Raw genomic sequence first — 15,880 nt, forward strand, 5'->3', positions numbered from 1 at the left:
AAATATGAAGATGCGGCACTGTGGGGAACGTGAGGCTGCAACACAGGAAGGACCCATGGGACTGAGAGGAAGGAGAAGCTCAAAGAGGAAGAAAAGAGGCACAACCTGAGAGAATGTAGCAACCTGTGGAGTTCTAAGGCTGCAACTTTATTAGCATTGCAGTAGTTTAGGGAAGGAGTATGAAAAGAGTATAGGGTGGGTATTGAGATCTAAGAGATAGTGCTAGAAGGATTAAGTGATGATTTTTCAGGGCTAACCCAAAGCTAAGAACTGGAGACAGGTTTGAGAAAAATGTTTTAAATATGAGCTCAAGGCCCCCAAATGAGTGAAGAGAAAAAGGAACATGGGCAGAGAGAAGTGTGCATGCAATATGAATCCCAATAGATCATTCTGTGCTTGCTGTTTTCTCAAGACTGGATGATCAATGTCGTGCATCCAGTCAATGTCTGGTGAGTATGACCTAGATATGAATGAAGTCCCTGTCATGCCTCAGTTATTTTGCACACCATAGATCATACATGCTTTCACTATAATTCCCCACTCATGGCACAGTTCCACTCAATTGTGAGAAAACCCCTCAGTTCACAGCTTCTCCCTAGGGAGGAAGCTGGACTGTGAATTAAACATTCCACCTTTTTCAGCTATTTGTTGAGGAACTGGCTTTTTTGTATCACCTGTCTAGGAGCACTGACAGAACCCAGCATACACCAAACATCTATGGGCTACTGTGAACAAAGGCAGTGGTTTGACCTAGTATGTGGACATTCACCACAAATCATTTCAGTAACTCTGCATATAGTAAGTGGTTAAAGAAGAGCCTCAGCTCATAGCTTTTCACTGGAAAGAAAATAGTTGAACCACAAATCCAAGGTTCCAAATTTTTCAGGAGCTGCTCAAGAGTCTGGCTTCTGTCTTGCTTTTCTTTTCTTTTCTTTTTTATTATTATTATACTTTAAGTTTTAGGGTACATGTGCACAATGTGCAGGTTAGTTACATATGTATACATGTGCCATGCTGGTGCTTTTCTCGGAGTGCTGACAGAACTGATCACAGTCTAGAAGCCTGATGGTCACTGAAAATAAATATTATTTTTTAAAATTTCATTTTTCTTTCATTTGAATATTTTATTGTTAAAAATTCCATTTATATTGAAATAGAGATAAAAATCAATGTATAAAGTTACAAAATACAGACAGAAAATTTCCCTTCCAACCATCTCCAGCCTCTTACTCGTGGGTTCTATTTCTTAATAGCAACTACTTTTTACTGTTTTGTTTTTAGTTCTTCTGACTGTTTCTTTCATGAATTTAAATTATATGTTCATCCCTGTATTTTTGAATAATCTATGCTAAATAATGTCTATGCATTTTTATTAAAAAATTAAAAATTATTTTACTTTTAACATTATGTCACCTCTGAAACCTCTCTTCATTGTTGGAAATATTTTTATTTTTACCTTTTTATAGATTATGTTTACTTTTTAATTGACACATAATTGTACCTATTTATGGAGTTTAAACAAGCACAAAAGCAACCTCCATCAACCCCCTCCCCTGCCTAGGGAAGAGTGAATGAGTGAAAAAACTTTATATTCTATCTTCTCCCTGGGGAGGTAAAGAGTTGGACAATGAACCCAATGATCTAACTCTCTGGGTTCTATATGAGAGAATGGCTTCTATCTCTGCTATCTTGGAGCAATGGCAGGATCTGTTGTACTCTAGACACCTGAGGGTGGCTGGGAACTACGATAGCAGTATGGTCTACCACAAAGATTTGGGAGATCAACAGATAATCTGGCCAAACTGATTTAAGAAGGTCTTTTTCTGCACAAAGCAAATATGTGAAGACTGAGTGAAGTGTTTTTTTTTCCCAATGTGTAGATCATACCAATGTACAAAGTAAAGGAAATGAAGAAACAAGAAAACACAATCCAATAAAGCAACAAGATGAAACTCCAGAAACCAACCCTAATAAAACAGATAAATATAAATTAACTGACAGAAAACGTGCAATCACCATTATAAAATGTTTAATGAGTTCAGGTAAAGAATACAAGAACAATAGAAGAAGTTAAACAAGCAGATAGAAAATTTTTAGAAGAACAAAACTGAAACCTTGAAGCTGAAGAATATAATAACTGAAATAAAAATGTAATAGAAAAGTTTCAGCAGCAGACTAGAGCAATCAGAAGAAATAATCAACAAACTCAAATACAGGTCATTTGAAATTATAGACAGAGTTGCAAAAAGAAAAAGAAATGAAAAATAGTGAAAAAAAGCTTAAGGGGCTTATGGGAAAACATTAAGCAGATCAATATATGCATTATGGAAATTTCAAAAGACAAGAGAGAGAGAGAAAGAACCATAAAGTTTACTCAAAGAAATAATGGCTGAAAACTTCCAAAACCTGTGGAAGAAACTGGAAATCCAAATGCAGAAAGCTCAAAGGATTCTAAATAAGATGCACCAAAAAAGAAAAAGAAAGAAAAACATGCCAAGACACATTAAAATCAAATTGTCAAATTCAAAGAAAATCCCAAAATCAGAAAGAGAAAGGAAACTTTCATATACAAAGAATCTCTGTAAGACTAACAGCAGATTTTTACCTTTCAGGCCAGTAGTTAGAAGGATGATATATTCAAAGTGCTGAAAGAAATGAAAAAACTGACAACCAAGAATATTATACTCACTAAAACTATCTTTCAAAATTGAAAGAAACAAAGATTTTCCCAGGCAAACAAAATCTGAATAATTTTATTACCACTATATCTGCCTTAGAAGAAGTACTAAAGGGATTTTTTTTCAAGTTGAAATGAAAGGATGCTAAACCATAACATAACAGTATATGAAAGTATAAAACTAATTGGTAAAGGTAAATATATAGACATATATAAAATGCTGTAATAGCAGTGGATAAATAACTTTTTATTCTAGTATAAAAGCTAAAAGCAAAAAGTGTTAAAAATGACTGTAAGTAAAAATATGTTAATAGATACACAATATAAATAGCTTGAAATTGTGACAAAAATAACATAAAGTTTGGGAAAGGGAGAAATAAATATGTAGAGTTTTTGTATGCAATTGAAGTTAAGCTGTTATCAGCTTAAAATGACTCATATAACTATAAGAAATTTTATTTAAATCTCATTGTAACCACAAAGAAAAAAATATATATATAAATTACACAACACAAAAGAGAAAGTAAACAAACCATATCAATAAAAAAAACTACTAAAGACAAAGGAACACCACATAAGTGGAAGAGTGACAGAACAAAAAACAAAACCTCATAGAAAGAAATTAACAAGATGGCCAGAGCAAATTATTTTCTAATAAATAATTACTTTAAATGTAAATGGATTAAAGTACTCAAGCAAGAAGCATTGAGGGGTTGAATTAATCAGAAAAAAATATGATCAATCCATATACTATCTACAAGAAATTCACTTTATGTTTACTGATCCTGAAGTGAAGAAATGGAAAAGATACTCCATGCAAATGGTTGCCAAAAGATAGCAGAAGTGGCTAGACTTAGATCAGGCAAAATACACTTTAAGTAGAAGACCTTCACAAGAGATAAAGAAGCACATTATATAAGGATACAAGAGTAAAATTGTCTGAAAGACATTTTATATATATATATAATTATGATGTTGCATATGTATGTGTGTGTGTGTACTCAACATCAGAACATATAGATATATAAAGCAATCATTGACAGACCTGAAGGAAGAAATTGACTGCAATATAATAATAGGAGACCAGAAACAGCAAACATGAACAAAAGCATGAATCGATAGATCTACCAAACATGTAGAGAGCACTCCACCCAACAGTAGCATATATATTGAGTAGAGTATACATTCTTCTCAAGTGTACACAAAACATTTCTCAGGGCAGATCACATTTTACATCACAAAAGAATCTTAACAAACAGAAGAAGACTGAAATCCTACCAATTATGTTTTCCAGTCAGAATGGAAGAAAACTAGAAATCTACAGCAGTAGGACAAATGGAAAATACACAAACGTGGAAACTAAATAACACAATTTAAACAACCAATGAGTCAAAGAAGTAATCAAAATGGAAAATAGAAAATATCTTGAGACAAATGAAAATAAAAACACAACATAGAAAACTTATGGGATGCAGCAAAGGCTGTGTGTACTAAGGAAAGTTTATAGTGATAAAACACTAACATTAAAAAAGAAGAACACAAGTGAACAAATTAACTTTAAACCTCAAGGAACTGGAAAAAAAACAGCTGAAGCCCAAATTTAGCATAAAAAGGAAATAATAAAGATTAGAGCAAAATATATAAAGAATACAAAAACGATAGGAAAAAATAAACAAAACTGAGTTTTTTAAATGAAGTAGTTATCTTTTCAAAGCTAAACAAAACCTGTAGCTAGACTAAGAAAAAAAGAGATTTAAATAAATAATCAGAAATAAAAAAGGAGACATTGAAACTGATGCCATGAGAATAAAAAGGATAATGAGAGAATATTAGCATTGTATGCTTTCTGAATAACCTAGAAAAAAAATGAATCAAACCCTAGAAAGATATAGCTTACCAAGGTTAAGTCAAGAAGAAATAGATAACTTCACTGATGAAATACAACTAGATTTAAAGAAAAATTAATGCTGGGTCTTCCCAAACTCTTCCAAAATATTGAAGAAGAGGGAACACTCCCAAACTCATTTTATGAGGCCAGTATTACCCTGATAACACAGCAAGACAATGACACAACAAGAAAAGAAAACTGCAGGTCAATATCTCTGATGGATATAGAATTTAAAATCCATAATAAAATACTAGCGAACTGCATCCAACAGCACACTAAAATGTTCATACACCACGACAATGTAGGTGTTATTTCTAGGATGCAAAGATGACTCAACATATAAATATCAATATAACATATCACATTAAAGGAATGAAGAGTATACATTACATGATCATCTTAATAGATGCACAGAAAGCATTTGAAAAATTCAACACACTTTCACGGTAAAATCTCAGCAAATTAGGTATACAAAGAAATTACTTTAACATAATAAAGAACATACATAAAAGTCTATGGCTAACATCACATTCTATGGTGAAAAACTGAAAACCTTCCCTCTAAATTCAAGAATGAGGCAAATATGCCTATTCTTGTCACTTCTACTATAATAATAAATGTCCTAGCAAGAGCAATTAGACAAGAGAAGGAAATAAAAGTCCTCAGAAAGAGAAAAAAGAAGTAAAATTGTCCCTGTTTGTGGATGACCTGATCTCACATATTGAAAATCCCAAAGACTCCACCAAAAACCAAAAATGAAAAAAATCTTTTAGAATGAACAAATAAAACAATAAAATTGAAGGATACAAAATCAAGATACAAAAATAAGTTTTTTATAGTAAGTTTTTGTGTTTCTATGCATTAGCAATGAAATATCTGAAAAGGAGATTACCAAAACAATCCCATCTAAAAAAGCATTTAAAAATACTTAGGAATAACCTTAACTAAGGAGGTGAACAATCCTGTGTAATGAAAAGTACAAAACATCAATGAAACAAAGAAGACACAAGTTGAAATACATCCTGCACTTATCAATTGTCAAGCATAATGTTTTTAAAATATCCATAACCAAAATAACCAATGCAATCCCCATACAAATTGCAATTGTTGTCTTCACAGTAGAAAAATAGCTTAAAGTTTATATGGAAGCCCCAAAGACCCCAAATAGCCAAAACAATTTTGAGAAAGAATAAAGCTAGAGGCATCACACGTCTTGATTCCAAAGTATAGCACAAGTCTACACTAATTGAAACAGTATGGTACTAGCATAAAGATAGACATATATAGATCAATAGAGCAGAATATTATATCCCAGAAATATATCCATACACTTATGGTCAACAGAACTTTGACAAGGGTGACAAAAATATAAAATGGGAAATAATAATTTCTTTAACAAATAGTATTGGGAAAACAACATCCAAATGTAAAAACACTTAATTTGAACCCTTATCTTACATCATACGCAAAAACACAAACTCAAAATAAATTAAGGCCTTAAATTTAAGACCGGAAACTGTAATAGTAACAGAAGAAAACATGGAGAATAAGCTTCATGACATTGGGCTTGGCAATGATTTCATAAATATGATACCAAAGGCACAGACAGCAAAAACAAAAGTGAACAAGTGGGATTACATCTAACTAAAAGCTTGTGTGCAGCAAAGATAATAAGCAACAAAATGAAAAGGCAACCTATCAAATGGGAGAAAATATTTGCAAACCAGATATCCAATGAGATTAATTAACAAAATAAAAAAGGGATTTCTGCAACTCAAAGTAAAATCATATCAACAAAAACAAACCTACTAATCCTATTTTAAAAAGTGGCTAAGGATTTGAATAGACATTTCTCCAAAGTAGTCATACGAATGGCCAGCAGGCCTATGAAAAGATGCTTAACATCACTAATCATCAGGGAAATGCAAATAAAAACCACAATACAAGTTATCACTCCACACATGTTGATATGGTTAATATTAAATAATAATAATAGTAACAAATCTTGGCAGTTAAGAAACTGAACTCCTGTGAACTGTTGGTAACATGTAAAATGGTGCAGCTCTTATGGAAAACAATATGGGATTTTTTTCAAAAAATTTTAAAAAAGAACTAAAATATGATCTAGAAATTCTACTTCTAGGTATTTATCCAAAAGAACTTAAGTTAGGATCTCAACAAAATAATGCACTCTCATGTTCATTGCACCATTATTCACAATAGTCACGGTGTGGAAACAACTTTAATGTCTATCAGCAGGATGGGTGGATGAAGAAAATGTGATATATAAATACAATGGAATATTTTCAGCCTTAAGAAAGAATTTTTGCCATATGTGACAATGTGGATGAACCTTGAGTACCTTATGCTAAGTAAAATAAGCCAGACACAGAGAGGCACATTCCACTAATATGCAGTATCTGAAATAGTCAAATTATTAGAAACAGAAAATAGCATAATTGTTGCCAGTGTCTGGGGAGATAGAGTGACATGGGAAGTTGCTAACCCATTGGCATGAAGTTTCAGGAATGCAAATATGTCAGTTTTAGAGATCTATTGCAATATACTGTGCCTGTAGTTAACAATACTGTTATTGGACACTTAAACATTTCTTATGAGGGTAGATTTCATGTTAAGTGTTCTCACTACTATAAAAACTATAAATAAATAAATAAACAAATAAGAGTAGGAGTACTATTTTCTAACTGTCTTACAATGTGCAAGGATCCTCTCTCTGGGACAATACTTCATTTTGTCAGTCAGGTCAGAGTGTCAGTTCCATTCCTTTATCAATGAGTTCAGAGTAAACACTTTCAGCCTGTCTGGAATACGAAAGTAGCTGAAAATGTAGAGATTCATTGTCCACTCTCTATGAAAAGAACAGAGTCACAGAATTTTGAGATTACTATTAATACAGGTTAAATTGTAATCATGGCTCAAAGCTCTCACCTTCCTCAATATGTGGGAAATCGGGAGCAGTATTCCTTTGGGTACATTAGAGTAGAGCAATAATTCAAAGACCTGTTATATAACTAGAGAGCTTAGACAAGTATGTGTTGTATGCATGATAGTTGATTTCTAGTTTTTACATGCATCAAATAATTGTCAAAGTGTTCTACATTCCACTGCACATAAATTTCCTCACACAGTCCATGGATTTATTTTTTTTCGACGAGTAATGATTGAATGTACTATGTTCCAGAAATACGCTGAGGTTACAAAACCTCAGAAATAGTCTGAGGTTACAAAAACATGTTAGATGTAGTGCTTGCCCACAAGGAATATTTGAATAAGGGATATAGGCATGTAATTCATAATTATAGTGTTATAAGTGCCTATGATTAGAGTATGGAATGGGTGGTATGGAATTACATAGAAGGGGTATCTAAATAAGGTGAGGGATTAAAAAAATTTTTGAAGAGATGAACTACTTCAGTTATACATAAAAAATGAAGAGAATAATGAGAAAGATATAATATAAAAGTTCATAAAGCTATTAAGTAGGGGGATTAATAACCGTTGAGGGAGAAAAAAACTGTGCTTTAATATATCACTAAGTCTAAGTCATAAAGTAATTATATTTTATAAGAATTTTGTTAATTTTGATCATTAAAAAGTGATCTATTTAATTTTTGTGGCAAAGCTGCTCATTGTCCCCCAATATACATTAACTTTTTTATCAGTAAGGGAGCTAGGCCTAGTGTAAAGCTTACAGCTAAGATTGGTCTATAATTAATGATTAAATTCTGGTCCATAGGATATAAACAGGAGCAATGTCCTTAAAAAACAGTAACATATCCTTCTCTATCCCTTCCTCCTTACAGGTGGTAAGCATACAGACATGTTGGCTGAAGGTGAACAGTCTTTTTGGACAATGCTGTAATAATTGCAAGTTGAAGATGGCAGATAAAAACATACAGGAGCCCAAGTCCCTGCTGGCCCCATGGACCAGCATCCCACTCCCACCCATGGATTAGCTATCCTGGGCTCTTTTTTTTTTAATTGGAGAGAGAAACAAATATGCATATCAGAGTTTTCTATTACTCAGAGCCAAACGATCATAATGAATACAGTTTTATTCTTACAACCCTCTTTTAAAAAATATTTTGTAAATGAATGACAAAGTTAAGTAGAATAACAGTTAACATTTCTAGATCACCTCTGGTGGCCTAACACTTTACCTAGGTATATGTATCTCATCTAAGTCTCTCAGCATCCCTTGAGGTAGGCCTTATTATTAGCTGCTCCAATTTACAGTGGTGAAGGCTCAAGGTCAAAGAGGTAGTGAAGAGATCAATCAGGATTTGAACCAGGCAGTTGAAATCGAGTGTCTGGCTCTTCCTGTCTTGCATATTTTGCCTTCCCTAACTAGATACAAACTAAGAAAAACAAAACAATTGAATTTTTTTTCTGAAATCATGAAGACAAAATTAATAAATTCATTGAGTTTTCAAAATATATTTTCTGTCCTTTTCACTAGGCATGCAAACTGCAATATGTTTAAAAAACAAAGCTACCTGAAAATAATACATTTTAGATATACATGTTCTAGGAATCATGTTCATGAATTTAAGATAGAAAAAGCTGAAATCTCAACAGCATATAAAAACATAAACTTCTGAAAATATAAATTAAATAACAACTTTTTAAATTACTTTTAAATAGACAGACATCCAATTCATATAACTCTACCATTCCTGCATGTTTTCAACTGATGTATTACTTCTCCTATTATTAAGTCAGCAGTCAATGACAGCAGGAACTTTTTCCTGTAAAATATAGATGGTCATATAATTTCCAGTCTGGACTGGACTTAGAGAAAACCTAATTCAATCTGTTTAATTTATCAATAAAAAAACTATTAGAGAATTAGAAGAACTACATGTTGTAGCAACTTAATTACAGTTCGAATTGTATTTAGATCTAGTTCTAATTGTAAATCTAGTAACAGCTTCACTACGTCTCATGTATGAAAAGAATCTTCTGCCTCCATTTGATGGAAAAGTAGGCAATCTGCTTAAGATATTTACAGGCTAAATATCCCTGTACAGGTTGAGGGTTTCATGGTGTCTATTATTTGCTTTAATTATTTATTTATTTATTTATTTATTTTTATTTATAGAGATGGGATCTTGCTATGTTACCTAGGCTGGGCTCAAACTCCTGGCCTCAAACTCCTGGCCTCAGTGATCCTCTTTCTACAGTTTCCCAAAACACTTGGATTATAGACATGAGCCATCATGCTCGGCCAAGGTGTCTATTATTTGATAGTAAATATAATATTATTTGAAAATAATAGTAGTTTATTGTACTCAATGTATCAGCCAGGCAAAAGTTTCTAGTCTGGAGATGGTTATTTGTAGGTTTATAAACCACTGAAATTGCATAGCAAAATATTTACATGTAATTGTACATTCTTCTGAGGAATGAGTACATAGTTTTTTTAGATATTCAAAGTATTGAATAATTGAAAAACATTGAGAGAAGTGCCCACTTCAAATGTCCTGATTATCTGCTGAAGCATTTTTTCCTCACCACTTCATTCACAATTATTTGCTCTTATTTTTTTTTTCTGCAATAATTTGGAAACTGAGACATAATCCAGATAAAAGGAAAAAAGGATGTCCATAATTGCTCTGGGACAATTGCCCCATTAAGTAAAACAGTAAAACAAATAAAAACAAAACACAAAATGTGAATGGCTTGGATGAAATAGTTGCAATGAGAAGGCAGCAGTGTGAGTATTCGCTGCCGTCATAGAACATACGTGTAATCCTGAGAAAGAGGCAGAAGAGAAATGTTCCTTGAATAAGCTCCCTTCTTATCTTTTAGCAAAAAAAAAAAAAAAGTGAACTGGTTTTTAAATATCACACCGTTTAGGAAAATGGATCATGAAACACATTTGACTTCACAGGTATTTCACATTAACTTATTCTTTAGGTATGGTGATGGCTGAAAGATACAAATGAAATAATTGTTCATGAGACTGTCAAAAACACCAATCATGCAGCACATCTCACACTCTTAACTAAGAACATTCGGCTCAGTTAGGAGTCTCCATCTAAAAAGAGTTTCAATATAAAGTAAACATGGCAAATGATTTCTCCTCCTTCCTTTGGAGAGGTCACGTTTGAGGTTCACCAGCGATGCAAGATGGGAAAGCCTGGCTTGTGCTCACCTGCTAAGAGTTCAACAGAGAGCTTGCACAGTCAATGCCTGGTGTTTAATGGGCAGCGCTGAATTTATCACCTGAAACTCTAACAAGCTAATAAGCCATTTATTAATTTGTGTTAGTTTGGGCACCATAGAATTGCCCTAACTTGAAAACAACCACCCTCCCAAGATATGCGAAAATTCTCAGGCAAAGTAGTTGCATGCATTGCTTTGGAAAATCAAGTTTACCAGGCAGGTTTTGTTGTGCTCTTCTCAGCATGGTTCTTAGTATCTAAAGTGCCACCACATGTTGTAACAATAAAGCTATTGCTTATCAATCAGACCAAGTTGACAACCAACAAATGCTGCTATGAGTTGTTGTAGGCTGGATTACAATCCTCTCCTTGGTAACCCATCAGTGTGTGTCTAATAAGCAGTGTTCAGTAATGTTCAGGGTAGTAAACTCATGTAGAAACACTTAAAAATTACAATAAAAACAACAACAGAACAAACAAAACAAGAAAGAAAGGCTATGTGTGGAGAAACTTTTCCAGAAACAACTAATTGTAAAAGTACACAGTTTCCACAAGGGGACAAATACACTCCTTTTTAAAGACTTGAATAATTCTAGACAACACCATGTTTTTTATTAAAACCTAACCTTACAAGTAACACTGAACTGTTCTTAAAGATTGATGGGCATTCATCACCCTCCTCTTTGATGGAAGGTGTTGATACATTTTTGGTGGTAGCTTAGCTACATCCTTCTTTAACTCTTTCAGAAGTTTTAGATGAAGACCATTTGAACATAGTGATTTATGGCCACTTAATTTCTCATATTTTTTCAATCAGGTCTTTGTTTTGATTTCTCTGACAGTTCTCCACCTTCTTTTTTTGTACGAAGTAATTCCAGAGTAGATACTTCTTCATCATCCTGGAAAGCAAGCCAAGCACAAAGCATCCATTCAGTCTCTTTGTATTTTTTGCTATCTCTTTGGAATGTTTCATTCCCAACATCGTCTAATAGGTCAATATAATCTTCAGTGGATTTTGCATTTCTGATATAATTGTCACTTGTCTAAAGGGAATTCTTTTATTATGCACTTCGGAGTGACTTGTGATTTTTTTTGACATTATCCCTAAAGATCAGTATTGTGGTCTCTGATCACTTCTCCTCCATCTTTTCCAAACTCAAACATCTAACCTTCATATTTACTTTTGTTGGTGTTCACAAATCTCTGATAATGTATCCTTAGACAGGGTATATGGTATTTCTATGTATTTAAGTTTCCTACCTTTTTCCTTTTGGACCTTTCTAACTAATCTCCTTGTTGTTGTTTTTCTTAAACTTATCAAAATTTGAGTATCTATATGTGTCCCTTTGATGTAAAGTTTTCTATGAAAATGTCAAATGTGATTATGTCATCACTACTGCTAATTTTTAAATTTATCATCTTTTACCTTAGACCAATGAGTCAAAAGTCACAGAAGCTATACCAACACTCTAATTTCCTAAATGATGTGCTTGTAAAAAAAGTATTTATCCCACAGTGATACAAGTTTCATGACTTAAGTACAATGTACAAATCTTGTTATTTTTATGCCACCTTTTAAAATGTGCCAGTCATGTCAAAATAGCCAGAACAAGTTTCCCCATCTACCAACCCTGTCCCCAGACTTGCCACTGCTGTCCCATGCTCTATATAACATGTCTTTGTTGTAATGCAAAGTTTATGTCTTGTATTTTAATATGATAAATCAATCACAATGAAACATAGGTTTCTTATTAACACACGTCAATCACTCTTTGGTACTCCACCAACACTTATGTATAGTAACCATAGTTTATCTTTCTTTGTATAAATAAAACAATGTGTCTCTCTCACTTTTCTAACCATTTCAATGTAATGCCTAGTGTCAGACAAACCAAACTAAGCAGTGGTGAACCTATTCTTACTTCTTCCAGATTGAATAAATCTAATCAAATAGTTTTTGTATCACCACAGATTCTCTTTTGGAAGAAACCATGAAAGAATTGCCAAATTCCTGGATTAACTGAAAAACATACAAATATTTCAGCAAAATCTTAAAGTGACTTTGTAAAAAATCATAAACCCAGTATATACTTTGCTGTTACTAGGGACATTTGTTCTGAACTTAGATCTTAGACTATTTTATAATCACCTATTTCTCTTATATGGATTATTCAGATTACCAGATCACTTACAGACCTCATTGTCAATATTTACACAGTTTACAGAAAACACACCTGGCTCTGTATCCAACTGGTAATATTTGCACTTAAATTCAGATTCAGAGTATCCTATCCTTGGAAGGAACTCAGGCCTTTCACAAGATAAACAGGCTTCAGACAAATGTTATGGATGGATTGTATATCTCCCAGATTCACATGTTGAAGTCCTAACCCCAAAAGTACCTTGAAATGTGGTCTTATTTGGAAATAGGGTCATTACAGATGTAACTAGTTAAATTGAGGTTATACTACAGTAGGGTAGGCCCCAAAACCATATGACAGGTATCCTTATAAAAAGGAAATATTTGGACAGAGAAACACACACACACGGAGAATTCTATGTGAATATTGGTGTTAAAATGCTACAAGCCAATGAACAACCAGAAGCTAGGAAAAAGGGTTGGAACTGATCTTCCCATATCCTTACAGGGAATACAGCCCTGTCAAAAACTTGATCTCAGACTTTTGGCCTCCAGAACTGTGAAACAATTCCATTTCATTTGTTTAAGCCACCCAGTTTGTGATATTTTGTTATGGACTTTTTAGCAAAATAATGCAACAAAATTCAGTATCATTAATCAATATCAAATAATGAATCAGGCAAATAATGAATGATGGGCGGAGAAAAGGGAAATTAATACAATTTTGAAGGATTGTTATTTTATATAATCCTGAAGTGTAAATTTTTTCTATAATTGCTGGTTAATTATCAGCTTGCTCTTCAGAACCCGCATAGCACTTGTTTCATATGTATGTTAACAGTGCTTTTCACACAGTTATGATCATTTATCTTCAGGTCTGTCTCTGTCATTATCTCGAAATCGAAGAAGCCTGGGACCACTTGTAGCTTCTTCACCTCAGAATCCTATAATGGTACATGACACATAGTACATGTTCATTAAATGTCTTCAAAAAACGATGAGACTATCTTTGCCATCATATTTAGAATTTTAGCTAGATTGTTATTTAAGTAAGATTTTTACTCAAAATAGTAATAAACGAGACATACAAAACAGTTCCAGACTGGACTCTCACCATATCTTTTTTCAACATGATTACTACAAATGAGATATACTGTTTTTTAAAAGGGTTTTAGAAGACCAAATTTACTGATGATATAGTGGACTGAAAAGTAAGAGTGAAGAGACAGAAAGCAGTCCCTGGCCTCTGAACTAGATTTCTATTTGTAGATTCGTAGTTGTTGTCTGTTTCTCAGAACTTAGCATTAAGAGAAGGCATAAAAATATTGCCATGTGTTAACCTCTATTATAGACCCAGCTTGTCCTGCTAGGCCAGGGATGGAAGTATGCGAGCTGAAACACACATCTTAATGTGAACCAGACTTGGTGGGGGATTCACCACTGTATCTTGCCAGGTATTCAAGCCTTCCAGATATTCTGCATCTTTTGATGATCTGCCTATAAATTCTTTCGGTCTCAGAAACTGAGCCCAATATTTCTTCTCCTCCTCCTCCCTCTGACCTCCGCTGTGTCTCATCTGCATTGTACAGTCTGACACAAGCTACCATGGTTTTGTCTCACTTTCATTTTGCTGCATCTGTTTCACTGCATAACCCAGATAATTGTGTTTCCAAGCATAGCCTGGAAATCTGATTTCTGTTCCTGATAGATAATTCAGTTTTATTTTTCTGACTCCGTGTCTTAACCCATTAAGAAATATCCAAGACATGGCAGTTAATCACAAGTGTGGAAGCATAGATTTCTGATCTCTGTCCCCAGATGTATGTGAAGTGGTCCTGCATTTGATCTTGAAAGATGTGTTCCCCAGGTAACTGCTATGAACAAGAGCTACTATTGGTGGGCTCCTGTATCTTAATCAAAGGGGAAGAAATAAAGCATTTACAAACACTATTTCTGAATCTCATTAGTTCAAAACATATTGGGTATATTTATACAGTATTGCTGATTAAGTTTGCTTTGTACTGAAACTATTTATTGTAGATTCTTATTGATTTTCAACAATCTTCCATGAGATTTAAGTTACTGAGAAAAAGTTGTAAGTTTTCTCTCACTGTCATTATATTCCATCTCAAAAACATTTGATATAAATACAATGGAGATTTAAAAATATTTGATACTACTACAATGGAGATTGAAAGTTGAAAGACCCCAGATTCAATGAAGCTTAAAGTTGTCTGTTGGGCTGATAAAATATTTTTAAGGTTTATTTGTCAACAAGATTTAAAGGCAGTATATTTCCACCCACTTCCCTTCATGTAAAACAAAAACAAAACTAAATTCTGAATCTCCAACTGATGTTGAAAAAAAAAATGAAAGATCTGGCAACATAATACTTACATTTCCACATGACTGAAATTGACTATAATATGGTATGTTTAGTTTGCCAGAATCCCCACCTCTCCCTCTTATCCCTACCAAACTTACTTCATTCACGAGAGATAGCTGCTGGCTCCTGTATTAATTTAAATAACCTGTAAATTGCCCAAGATGTTGATGTTTTATGCAGATGATTTCAGTAGGATGAATTCTACATCTTACTGAAAAAAATGTTTTTCAATAGAATTGTGTTTTTTGTTGGGTGTAACTTGCCCATAAACTGACCCACTCAGTACAGATACATATGTCCCAAGTGTTAGCCTTTCTTAGCAGAACTTTGACCTTGTGTATATAAGCTTTTTGTTCAATAAGGAAAACCATCAATTACGTTATGTTGTTTGGTACCAAAAATGCTTTGATCTTTTTTAAGGGTATTTATTACAAAGGAAAGCAGGGTGAGAACCCTCTGACAGACATGAGGCCATGAGGCTTTATATGAAAACCTCAAGCATCTGTGACTGACTGGCATAAAACCATGAGTATAAAACGCTTCAGATCTGATCCACCTCACCTTTCTGGATTTGATTTCTAGCTTTTCTACTCACTAGGTA

At 33.5% G+C, this 15,880-nt stretch overlaps 1 long non-coding RNA gene across 2 annotated transcripts in view; it reads left to right on the plus strand.

The window, feature by feature from the left end:
- The window catches only part of LINC03017 (long intergenic non-protein coding RNA 3017), a 51,843-nt gene that overhangs the window by 21,962 nt on the left and 14,001 nt on the right, over positions 1-15,880 (plus strand). The gene's annotated exons all lie outside the window — the stretch shown is intronic.

The sequence above is a fragment of the Homo sapiens genome, chromosome 7, assembly GCF_000001405.40.
Source record: "Homo sapiens chromosome 7, GRCh38.p14 Primary Assembly".
NCBI lineage: Eukaryota > Metazoa > Chordata > Mammalia > Primates > Hominidae > Homo > Homo sapiens.